Source organism: Homo sapiens, chromosome 22 (genome assembly GCF_000001405.40).
Source record: "Homo sapiens chromosome 22, GRCh38.p14 Primary Assembly".
Taxonomy (NCBI): Eukaryota; Metazoa; Chordata; class Mammalia; order Primates; family Hominidae; genus Homo; species Homo sapiens.
Window position 1 is genome coordinate 19,179,151 of NC_000022.11, and position 12,605 is coordinate 19,191,755.

The 12,605-nt window shown below is 54.3% G+C and overlaps 1 protein-coding gene across 17 annotated transcripts in view, besides 1 other annotated feature; it reads right to left on the reverse strand.

Annotated features, from left to right (window-relative positions):
• Window positions 83–182: a silencer, noted in NCBI's record as "silent region_13457". NCBI's record gives its function as "represses an Ori minimal core promoter by ATAC-STARR-seq in GM12878 lymphoblastoid cells {active_cell/tissue: GM12878}" and the evidence as "EXISTENCE:reporter gene assay evidence [ECO:0000049][PMID:35858748]".
• Window positions 323–12,605, reverse strand: part of CLTCL1 (clathrin heavy chain like 1) — a 112,247-nt gene continuing 99,964 nt past the window's right edge. For 6 of the 17 annotated variants that reach the window (XM_017028954.3, XM_047441511.1, NM_007098.4 and 3 more), the window contains 7 exons: window positions 12,154–12,285; window positions 8,831–8,941; window positions 8,408–8,578; window positions 4,240–4,461; window positions 1,581–1,656; window positions 1,049–1,088; window positions 323–819 (listed from right to left, as the gene is read on the reverse strand). In XM_017028954.3, the coding sequence (XP_016884443.1) occupies window positions 1,069–1,088; window positions 1,581–1,656; window positions 4,240–4,461; window positions 8,408–8,578; window positions 8,831–8,941; window positions 12,154–12,285 (732 nt within the window). In that variant the 3' untranslated portion in view covers window positions 323–819; window positions 1,049–1,068. Of the gene's footprint in view, window positions 820–1,048; window positions 1,089–1,580; window positions 1,657–4,239; window positions 4,462–8,407; window positions 8,579–8,830; window positions 9,076–12,153; window positions 12,286–12,605 lie in introns of those variants that run through there. The other 11 variants (XM_047441515.1, XM_047441516.1, NM_001835.4 and 8 more) reach the window with 5 other exon arrangements.

Genomic DNA, 12,605 nt, shown 5'->3' on the forward strand with positions numbered 1-12,605 from the left:
GGAACTCTAACGTTTCAAACCTGGAGGCGGGAGGCGGGAGGCCGGTGAGAAGGGGCTACGCCGCCGGGCCCCCCTCCCGCAGCAGCCACGGGCCGGGCCTCACCTGCCGGTTCCCACCCACACCTTTCCCGGTTGTAGTTTCTGCGCTCAGCGAACAAGGTCAGGAAAGACCACAAATGCAAGCGGCTGTATTCTCCTAGGCAGCTTGTCTGGGCAACGGAGGTCCCACACCCCAAAGAGGACCCAGCAAATCTTTAATGGACTGCGGGGCCTAGGAAACTGGCCCGTCCCTCCTACCCATACCAGCACCAAGCAGAGCACCTTTGCCTGGATAAACCGACTTTAATATTTATGATTGCCAAGAGGCTGAGAGTCCTTTTATGAGGTCCGGTACCTCCAAACAAGACGTGTTCATGTAGTCTTCAAACTGGCCTGGAGGGGGCAGCTCCAGCCAGTCGGAGGCGCCCAGGAGGAAGGCCTGGCTCCAGCAGGAGGGCCCACAGTCCAGTCTCTGTTGTCGGCTAAAGCTGGTCTTGCGCCGTCAGCCTCTACCCTGGCCTCCCCAGGCTCTGGGATGGCTCAGAGGTTGCCGTCATTGGGTTTCAGCAAAAATAAATATTGTCCAGGTGTCCCTGCCTCCCATTGCGTCCCCTGTGCTGCTGGAGTGACATGCTCCTTGGAGAAGTTAGTAACTCTGCAGGTAGGGTGGGTGGTGACAACGCCCACTACACGCGGAAGTTGTACATTGGAGGCTGGCGAAGTTGGGAGCAGAGGCATATCCATAGGGGAAGCTGGCAGGGGCTGGGCCCACGGCAGGGCCTGCAGAGGGGGAAGCCCACAATGAGCAGAGCTCTTCCTGCCCATGGGGGTCCTCTCCTGGCTGCCCCTGAGTAGCCCGGGGCCCAGGGAGCAGGGTCTATAGGACCAGCCCTTACCACCCAGACGCTGAGGCCCCAAGAGAGCAGGCATCCAGAGGCAAGGAGCGTGGGGTCAGCCAGAGAACCTGGCCTGGCTAGAGGATAAGCTAGTCTCCAAATGGGACACTTACTTAGTGCAATCAGCTGGGTCTCATTCATGCCCATCAAAATCTAAAAAAACCAGAATGACATTAATGGTGGAAGGACACACTCAGCCGGACGCTGGAGACCCGCCGGCGTGCTGCACACTCACACCACACCCTCAGGCCTGTGTTTGCCCCACAGTGTCCAAGCACCCCACAGCCTCTCCAGTCTGCTCGACAGCCAGGCTGCCCTGGGCAGGTTCTCAGGTGCAAAGCCCCTCCCAGCACACACCAGCAGCAGCCTTGCTGTCCAGGGGCCAGGCCCAGCAGGACACAGCAGTAGTTCACAGCTAGGCAGGCACCCCTATCAGAAGGCAGGCATCCTTACAGCAGGGAGGACAGCGGCCGTGCCAACATTCCTGGGCGTACACTTCTCCACACCCAGTAGCCACTGGGATCCTTCCAGCCCCCACCCATCTATTCCCATCCCCATCCAAAGCCCAGCCAGGTAAGGGCAGTGGGACTTTGACTCCCTCCCTGCTCCCTCCCCAGGGGGTTGGGGGCTACAGGTGCCACCTACCAAACACGAGAGGGGCAGGCTCTGTCACATGCTCCTCTTGCTTGCGCAGACTCTCCAAGGCATCCAGTTTGTCCACCTGCAAGGAGGCAAAAGCACGTGAGCACCCGCTTGACAGAGTGCAGTCCGGCCTCTAGGTGAAAGTGGAGTGGAAGGTCAGGACACAGGGCCTCCAGGAGAATGACAGTGGAGGAGGTGCACATGGGCAGATGTGGAGTGGCTCAGCCCACACCCCATGCACTTTTAGAATGCAGCAAGGCATGGAGAGGTGAAGCCTCGGTAGCTGGGCTGAGATGGAACGCCAGGTGGGGCCCCCAGAGCTTCCCAGTGGGCACTGGGGCAGTCAGTTGTTACAGGCTGTGCATGTGGCCTGCTTATGGGGGGCCAAGTCCTCCTCTGGATACAGGGACACTGCCACTTACCGACCTGCAGGGCTGGGGCCATGTGCAGGGAACACTGTCTGCTTCTGGCTCTGGCCAGTCTAGTTTGCCCGCCCCTCCAAACCAGCAGAGAGATCATGTGGCTCTCAGAGACAAGTCACCTGGCACCTAGACACTTCACCTGAGAAGCACTGAGGACAAACTGCCTCCTCACTCTTCCCTGAGGCTTCACCAGGCACTGACCCCACCCACTGCCAGAGAGCGAGGCGGCAGCACTGCACTAGAGGGGCGGCAGCAACTGTGCAGCTAGGATCCCCTCACAAACACACTGAGTAAGAAAGAGAAATAAGAATGTGCCCCCCATGAGCTGGGGTCTGGGGGGGGCTGAGAAATGAGGAGGAAGCAGGGGGCACACTTGCTGACACCTAGGGTGAGGGCTGAGCTAGGCCTGTACCCTCCCTACAATGGGAGAGCGCTGGGGGCGTCTCAGAGGGATGGCCCTCAAGCTTCCCAGATGAGCCACGAGGCCCCAGGCCCAGCTGTCCACCAGGAAAGGACTGTGCTTCTTGTCCGCGCCCTCATTCTCCCAGCACTGCTGTGTGGTGTCAGCTGAGCACCAGCTCAAGCTGACAATCAGCTCACACCCCCATGCCACTGACTGGGAAACCCCTTGCCAGCCCCCTCCTCTCCTTGAACTCTCCCCATGACAGGCGTCTCATCTGCCCCAGCAGGAATAGGTGGGTGGCAGCAGAGAAGGTGCTCCAGCAGCCACCACCTCCCAGGGCCAGTGGAGTCTGGGAACCCTGGGCCAAGGCTGTGCAGCCACAGTGTGGACCAACGTGATAGTGGCTGCTAACTCCATCATCCGCAACAGAAAGGGAATGTGCGCCTCAAAGTCCTGGGGGATCCCCACAAGCACTTTGACCCCCACAGCAATGACACTCCCTAGGGCCTGGTGAGCCTGAGTTCCTCTGACACTAACCCACGGGCCTCTACTGCCAGGAAGAGATTCAAGCACTTTCTTTCCTTGTGCTGGTTCTCAGAACACAGACTACTTTCAGGAAAGACACCCGAGGGATGGGAAAACCTGCTCATCATGGTGACAGCAGCTTCCACAGGCACGCACCAGACACCGCACACCACACACTGCATACCACAAACCACATACCACACGTGCCGCCTGTAGGGAGTTGCCATCCACTGTGGTGGGGGAACCAGGGCCCTTGTCAATCCAACCAGTCCATGTCCCCTGGCAGCCCACGAATCTCAGGCCACGTAGCCAGGGCTGTCCCTTCCTCCCCAACCCTTGAGAGTCATCAGGGAGTCTCACTCAGGCATGCTATGCAGATGGGATGGGGTCACACTGTCCTACAGGAGGGCAACGGCCTTGAATGGACTCTGGGATGGCCTTTATCAGGGGCTGGGCAGCCCCCTGGAGGCTCTGCAGGCGGCAGGCAGCCCTCCAGGCTAAAGCTGGCAGCATGAGCCCGCCTTCCTGTTTCCTTCCTACCTCCCACTCACCTGGGAGGCCCCTCCCTTCCCTCGCTCCACTGAGTGATGCTTCAGCATGAGTGCCTTCCGAGGCTCTCCATCTGGCTTGAAGGAGGTTAGATAGGCAAGTAGATGCTACTGGAAGTAGCTTTTCCAGTGTTAGAAACAACAAACTGTACCAGATGACACTGCTGACACAGGTCTCTGGACAGTGGCTAAAGCTAGATCCCAGCAGGGACTCCTAGGACTTCAACACCCAGGGAGAGTTTTACAATCAAGTACTGTCACTTCGATGAGGCAGAGAGTCATCCTCCCTATAGCTGTTAGAAGGATTCAGTGGATCTGTGAATACTCCTACTATGTGTTCAGCAAAAGGCAGCTACCACCAACCGTATGCTAACAGCTGCACCCCCAGACGCCACTGGGAGCTCCTCAGGGAGCTGGGATTGCCAGCCACCTCACTGTCACCTTGTTGAAGTCCAGGGCTGGGGATGAGCACGCCTGTTGTGCTCCTAGCAGTGTGCACATTGGGACAGCTGCCCAGCCAGAGTCTACAGGAGGGCTGCTGCCAGTGGGCACTCCCCATGATGATTTTCTGGAGGGGCTTAACGTTGGGCAGAAAACCACTTCAGCATGAAGGAAAGCAGCCACTCCTGAAGGCAGCCAGGGCTGGCTGGGGAATCTGGGTTGGCCTCAAAGGGGCCCACCCTTAAGACCTGCGGCCAGAGTCACTGCCAGGGTTGGGTCATGCCACACAGGGGCCGGGGAGCTGCAGCCGGCCCGGCACCTACCTTGCTCAGGTACTCCCTCATCACCTGGATGAAGTAGGGCATGGCCAAGTCCACGAGGTTGTGCCTCCAGGCCAGCTCAAGCACCATGTCTGGGCGAAGCAGGTCATAGCAGGTGAAGAGACAAGCTGCGAAGCACTCCCTCTTGCCTTCCTCCAGGAACCACTGCAGCAACTTCTGGGCCAGCTCAGCATCCCGCGACTCTGCAGCATGCTGCATGGCATCCTGCAGCCAAGGCAAATGCTTGCTTGGGCATCCTGCAGGCAGAGGCTTTGTGCCTGCAGCAGCTGGGCCGGAGGGCAGGGAGTGGCACTAGACTCCACCAAGGACTTCCTGCGCTGTGGAGCAAGCCTGGACCCATGGCTGGGCCATTCCCTATGCCCTGCTGCCCACTGGTGAAACGGAGATGCCACCTCCGGAGGCTCTGGAGGGGACAGGTGGCTCACGGAGGCGCAGGTGCCCTGGGAGACAGGAACTCTAGCCCCGAGGGCAGAGGGCGTGCACAGGCTGCTCTGAGGAAGGCACTGATGGGAGTTTGGGGGTTGTGGGGCTGCTGCAGAGGTGCTGCACTCAGGTCCATGGAGCGTGTGACACCAGGGGAGCAGTTAGGAGGGGTACGGCTACTGCTCTAGAAACAGCAATGTGTTTTTCTTTCAAGTGGCTCAAAAACCCCTAACTGCTATTTTCATCCTTGCAAATGTATTTGTCTAAGACAATATCATTGACAAAATAACACCTGCACCTGACCAGTCCTGAAGAAGCCTGCACTTTCTGTGGCCATTCTCTATTTTCTAGCTCCACAGCAGGCACTGGATCACCTGATTCCTTCTATGGCAGGGGCTATTAGTACCCCATTCAGAGACCAGGAACCTGAGACCCAGATGTAGTCACTTGCCCAGGGCCACTCCACCTGGAGTTGGCCATGATCCACTGACTGTGACCTGTGCTCTCCAGGGATACCCTGTGGCGGTCCCAGCTCTGCATGCCTGCCATCGCCTGCAGCACACACCTCTGAGTTCCGTTTGGGAGACCCCTGAGGACGCCCAGTGCCCACATCTGCATGGACCCGATGTGCTGAGCTGGCTCCGGAAAGAAGTCTCCCCCGCTGGCATGCTGCTCATCGATCGCTGCCTCCTGACCCACACTGTTCCTACAAAGGCACCAGGATTCTGACCCTCAGGTGAGAGCTCCAGGTGCCTTTGGGTCTCCGCTTTGAGGACCTGTGACGCCCGCTCATCTGTCTCCCTGCCGTGCCCTCCACCGGCCCAGCCTACCCTTGCTGACTTGTCTTCCACATGTGCCTAAAGTGGGCCCTGCTCTGTTCCTCCTCTGTGGGCCTTGGGGACTGTCTCACTGCCTTCCCAGAGGACTTCCAGTAGAAGCAGCCCCCAGGAAGCTCCCAGTCAGTGTCCCGCTCCTGCGGCCTGGAGCCCAGCTCGAGTCAGGCTCTCCCACACCCTCCTCTCTCATCACCTCCCCGGCCCATGCCACTCTCAGGGAGGCTTCATCCTGGTCCCCATCCCTGTGTCCAGCTCTCCAGTCTACACCTGTACTTCCGCAGGCCCCTGCTCTTCACTGGTGGGTGTGGGAGGGCCCCACTGACCGAACTTTCATTTAAATGCTACTTCTGTCATCTGGAAATACAGTTTTCTGTTGCTAGCTGGCTTTGCCCTGACTGGACACGCTGTGACCTGGCCACTCCTCCAGGAAGACTCCAGGAGGCTTCAGCTCTGGCCTCAGGGCAGGCTCCTCCAGTGGCAGTGCTGACCTTGGGAGGTCTGGGGAGCCGCCTGTGCACTGGGGCTTGTGGGCCCCATCCCTGCCTCTACGGCCTATACACAGCACCACGCCCTAAGCTGTGACAACCAAACATTCCCTGGGGTCACAGTCATTCCTGGCTGACAGCCACTGTTCTGGGGGAAGCGCGCTCGGCCACTTTCTTTTTTTTTTTTTTTCTTGAGACGGAGTCTCGCTCTGTCACCCAGGCTGGAGTGCAGTGGCGTGATCTCTGCTCACTGCAAGCTCTGCCTCCTGGGTTCACGCCATTCTCCTGCCTCAGCCTCCTGAGTGGCTGGGACTACAGGCTCCTGCCACCACGCCCAGCTACTTTTTTGTATTTTTAGTAGAGATGGGGTTTCACCATGTTAGCCAGGATGGTCTCGATCTCCTGATCCTGTGATCCGCCCGCCTCGGCCTCCCAAAGTGCTGGGATTACAGGCATGAGCCAACGCGCCCGGCCCTGTGCTCGGCCACTTTCTATCTGTGGCTTTGTCCTCTGGACTCTCTTCTGGGCCCACGTGGCTCGGAGTGGGTGGCTGGCAAGGCCAGTAGGCCTCTGGCAGCACTGATGGCCCTGCTCACTCATCACTGCCTGAGTGTTGAGGAGGCTGTGTGTTTAAGCCCCTGACAGGGACCACATGGGTAGGACAGAATGGCTGTGATCAGCCAGCCGAGGGCAGCCTTCCCTCAGGTGCGTCTGAGCCCAGCTGTCTCCTCCCAGCAGCCAGGTCCAGAGACCTCCAGGTGCGGTCTCAGAGCCTCAGCAGCTTTTCCTCTCCATTCCCTCTGCAGGGGCCCTGTGGGCACCTCAGGAAGGATCACAAGCACTGTCACCAAGGGCTAGGATATGTCACAGAACAGTCCAGAACACTGGAGGTGACAACTTAGGGTGAAACTCAATGCAACACTGATGCAGGCATCAGAGGCCTCCACGGAGTCTGAGCCAACAGCCGCAGACCAGGAGCCATGAGAATGAGGCCCCTGTGCGGGACAGGAAGTGGCAAGTATCCATGTGTCCTGTGAAGATACTCAGGAATGCCTAAGGCCAACTCCGTAAGTAACACCCTCAGGTCAAGTCCAGAGTCTTTGGGCACAAGGAGCCCTTGGGAATTGGCTCAGCTGCATCACACAGCACCCACAAGGGCCCTCTTGTACAACTCCACCTCACCCCCGCGGGGAGATGTTCAGGCCAAGCAGAGGATGTTAATGCCTTCAGGGTCTTGGGGGTCCCTCCAGGCAGCCCAACCTGTCTAGCTGATGCCCAGATCCCGGTCTGAGAATGATACTAAGAAACCTCTCACCAGCAGAAAAAACACAGTTTCTTTTTCCTCTCAAGTGATCCTCCCACTTCAGCCTCTAAAGTAGCTGGGACTACAGGTGCACACAACCGTACCCAGCTTTGAAACAAATGTTTTGAATGTGATTTATTTATTTTTTTCCTTTTTTTTTTTCCGAGACAGAGTCTCACTCTGTCACCCGGGATGGAATGGAGTGGCGTGATCTCCGCTCACTGCAACCTCCGCCTCCTGGGTTCAAGCGATTCTCCTGCCTCAGCCTCCCAAGTAGCTGGGATTGCAGGAGTGCACCACTACACCCGGCTAACTTTTGTATTTTCAGTAGAGATAGGGTTTCACCATATTGGCCAGGCTGGTCTTGAACTCCTGACCTCAAATGATCTGCCCACCTCAGCCTCCCAAAGTGCTGGGATTACAGGTGTGAGCCACCACGTCCAGCCTTTGAATGTGATTTTAATTTAGGTTTTTAAATTCCTCAAATCTTTTTTTTTTTTTGGAGACAGGGTCTCACTCTGTTGCCTAGAGCAGTGGTGTGATCATAGCTCACTGCAGCCTCTGACTCCTGAGCTCAAGTGATCCTCCCTTCTCAGCCTCCCGAGTGGCTGGTACCACAGATGTCCATCACTACACTTGGCTAATTTTTTGTAAAGATGGGGTCTTGCCATGTCGCCTAGGCTGGTCTCAAACTCCTGGGCTCAAGCACTCCACCCACCTCAACCTCCCAAAGTGCTGAGATTACAGGGAAGTTCCCAAATCTTGATAGGAAGTAAAGTAGGTGCCAAGAAGTGAATCTTGCCACACTGTGTTTTGGTAGAGTGAAACTCACACAAAACTGCTGCGAAAAGAATCAACTCCGTAAAACTCTACAAGTCTTTCAATCCAAACAGTTTTTAAGGGGTGCTAGCTCACTCCCAATTCTTACTCTATGTTCTAAATATGGTCTCCCATTAATACTAATCCCCCCACCCACCACGAGGATCCCCTGGTGAAGCTCAGAGCCAGGTCTCAGGAACAAGAGGGAAGGGATGTGACCCCCAAAGCCATCAGGAAACACACCAAGGCAGGAAGGTGGGAGGAAACGGGCCCAGGCCACCAACCTTGTAGAGATGATCCTTCTTGCAGAGCTCCACGCTCTGGGCCCACCAGTTATTGCCCTTGTACAGATAGGCCGCAATGCACCTGAACTCCATCAGCTGATGCTTCTCCAGCTGCTGAGCCAGGCTGATGTTGTCAAAGTTGTCATAGGCATCGATAGATGCCCTTAAGCCCTAGGAAGACAGCCTTTCTGTGAGGGATGGGACACTGACATGGGCTGCCTACACATGGAGCAGGCACCTTGTGTTACTTGATGGCTGTTGCTATCAGCACAGCCTTAGAAAGGCCCCTGCCCATATATCCACTGGTGTCCTGTGGGGCCTGCACACCCTCCTGTGCAAAGGCAGCCTGCTTTGAGAACAGAATGGCAGTTGCAGGGGAGGAGCCCAGCCCACCCAGGACAGGGCTCCTTCCTGCACACCCACCTGATAGTCCTCCTCCTCTGTCAGCAGGTGGTTGAGTGCCTCATTCACACTCTTGTTGTTGTGGCTCTGGACTGACCGCAGGTAAGGCTTCACCAGGGGCAGCTGACCTGCCTGACAAGTTGAGGGAACCGTCAAGGCACTTGGCCAAGCTTGTTATGGGGACACTAGGCAGGGGCACAGGTGGGCACGTGCGTGCCATCCACTTGAATGGTCCAGCTCTGGAGCCAAGGGCACCTTCTGGACACCTAGAACCAAAAGACCTACACTCACACAAAGAGGACTGTCTGGGCGATTCAGTGGATGCCAATGTCACCACAGACATTCACACCTTAGAGAGACACATGGGTTTGGGTCCAGACCACCACAATAAAGTGAACATTGCAATAAAGTGAGTCATATTAATTCATGTTTACACTATGTTGTAGCCTAAGTGTGTAACAGCATTATGTCTACAAAAACACAGTACACACCTTAATTAAAAATATTTTAGTGCTAAAGAATGCTAACAATCATCTGAGCCTTCAGTGACTCGTAATCTTTTTGCTGGGGAGGGTCTTGCCTCAATGTTGATGGCTGCTGATTCATACAAGTGGTGGCTGTTGAAGGCTGGAGAGGCTGTGGCAATTTCTTTTTCTTTTTTTTTTTTTTTTGAGATGGAGTCTTGCTCGTCGCCCACACTGGAGTGCAGTGCCGTGATCTCGGCTCACTGCATCCTCTGCCTCCCAGGTTCAAGCAATCAATTCTCCTGCCTCAGCCTCCTGAATAGCTGGGACCAGGCGCTTGCCACCACGCCTGGCTAATTTTTGTATTTTTAGTAGAGACAGGGTTTCACCATATTGGTCAGGCTAAGTCTCGAACTCCTGAACTCAGGTGATCTGCCCACCTCTGCCTGCCAAAGTGCTAGGATTACAGGCATGAGCCACTGCGCCCAGCCGGCAATTTCTTTCCTTCTTTTTTTTGGGGCGGGAGACGGAGTGCAGTGGCGCGATCTTGGCTCACTGCAATCTCTGCCTCCTGGGTTCAAGCGATTCTCCTGCCTCAGCCTCCTGAGTATCTGGGATTACAGGTGCGCGCCCACCACACCTGGCTAATTTTTGTATTTTTAGTAGAGACAGAGTTTCACCACGTTGGTCAGGCTGGTCTCGACCTCCTGACCTCATGATCCACACGCCTTGGCCTCCCAAAGTGCTGGGATTACAGGCGTGAGCCACCGCGCTCGGCTGGCAATTTCTTAAAATAAGACATCAATGAGGTTTGCCTCACTGACTGACTCTTCCCTTTATGTAAGACCACTCTGGACTTGTGTTGCATAAAACAAAATAAACTAAACAAACAAAAAGACTCTGTGCAGCATGCAATGCTCTTTGATAGCACTGTACTCACAGTAGAACATTTTTCAAAATTGGTCTCAGTCCTCTCCAACCTTGCTGCCACTTTATCAACCAGGTTTATGCACTATTCTAAATCCCCTGTAGTCATTTCAACAATGTTCACAGCATCTGCCCCAGCAGTAGATTCTATCTTAAGAAACCACTTTCTTTGCTCATCCCTAAGAAGCAGCTCCTCATCTGTTCAAGTTGGATCCTAAGATTGCAGCAATTCAGCCCCTTCTTCAGGCTCCACTTCTAATTCTAGTTCTCCTGCTGTTTCCCCCACATCTGCAGTGACTTTCTCCACTGAAGTCCTGAACCCCCAAAGTTATCCATGAGGGTTGGAATCCACTTCTTCCAAATTCCTGTTAATATATGGATATTTTCCTTATATACTGGTGTCTTTACTTGTTTCCAACTTCTTATTGATACATGATAGTTGTGCATATTAATTGGGCATATGTAATATTTTGATACATATACACATGTGGGATGATCAAATCAGGGTAATTACGATATCCGTCACCTCAAGCATTTATCATTTCTTTGTGTTGGGAACATTTCAAATCTTCTCCTTTAGCTATTTTGAAATGCACAATAATTTATTGTTTTTTTTGAGATGGAGTCTCTCTGTTGCCCAGGCTGGAGTGCTGTGGTGCAATCTCGGCTCACTGCAACCTCCCGGGTTCAAGCGATTCTCCTGCCTCAGCCTCCCAAGTAGCTGGGACTACAGGTGCCTGTCACCACGTCTGGCTAATTTTTGTATTTTTAGTAGAGACGGGGTTTCACCATGTTGGCCAGGCTAGTCTCGAACTCCTGACCTCGGGTGATCCGCCTGCCTTGGTCATCCACCCACCTTGGCCTCCCAAAGTGTTGGGATTACAGGCATAAGCCACCATTCCCGGCCATTAATTAGCCTAATTCCAATGCTGTTGTGTCTCAGGGAATAGGGAGGCCCAAGGAAAGGAAGAGGGACCAGGGCACGGCCAGTCAGCGGAGCAGTCAGAACACATACAACATTTATCCATTAAGTTTCCCTTCTTATAGGGGCATGGTTTGTGGCATCCCAAAACAATTACAATAGTAACATCAAAGATTGCTGGTTGTGTGCACTGGCTCAAGCCTATAATCCCAGCACTGGAGGAGGCCAAGGCGGGAAGATTGCTTGAGGCCAGGAGTTCAAGGTTGCAGTGAGGTATGACCATGCCACTGCACTCCCACCTGGGCAACAGAGCAAGACTGTCTCAAAAAAAAAAAAAAAAAAAAAAAGATCACTGATCACAGATCACCATAACATATATAATGACAAAATTTGAAATATTGTGAGAAATCCTAAAATGTGACACAGGGACATGAAGTGGGCACATGCTGTTGGAAAAATGGTGCTAATCGACTTTCTCAATGCAGGGTTACAAACCTCCAATCTTTTTTTTTTTTTTTCTTTTGAGACAGAGTCTCACACTGTCACCCAGGCTGGAGTGCAGTGGCACGATCTTGGCTCACTGCTAGCTGTGCCTCCCGGGTTCACGCCATTCTCCTGCCTCAGCCTCCCAAGCAGCTGGGACTACAGGTGCCCACCACCACGCCCAGCTAATTTTTGTATTTTTAGTAGAGACGGGGTTTCACCGTGGTAGCCAGGGTGGTCTCGATCTCCTGACCTCGTGATCCGCCCGCCTCGGCCTCCCAAAGTGCTGGGATTACAGGCGTGAGCCACCGCACCCGGCCACAAACGGCTAATCTTTAAAAAAACACAGAATTTGAGAAGCACAATAAAATGAAGCATGATACGGGAGGTATTCCTGTATCTGAAACCTAAAACACTTTGATACACTGGTGAATCTTCAAGTCAGCTGGGGGTCATTTCAAAAACTCTTTATAAAGGTGCTATCATTCAGATGACTTTGTTAGAGCTAGCCCAATACACTCTTCTACCTGGGGTTTTGGTTGACTCACCTTTGAAAAGAAACTGACTGTCCAGGTGTGGTCCAGCCGGGGTGAAAGCACCAGCAGCAGGTCATTGATGAGCAGTGGTTTGTAATCCAAATAGAACTGCAGGGCTCTGTAACAGAGCTCGACGTTGGCAACCTGTGGTGAGCAAAGCTGAGGGTCAGTCCCTGCCGCTGTCTCCAGATACCCCAGGGCTCCTTCCAGTTTTTGCTCAAATGACACTTTACTACTGAGGCCTGCCATGACTACCCCCTATAAGACTCAATGGCCTGTGAAGGTGCCTCCTCTCATCCCTGAGGTATTTTGTCCCCCAGCACTGACACACTGAGCATTTTTCTTAAGAGGCCAGCCTCAGGGTTTCCTGCCTCAACCCAGCACCTAGACCAGTATCTGATGCAGGGTCCACGATCACTCAGTATCGGCTGAATGAATGAAGTGTAATCAGTCAGAATGAAGCC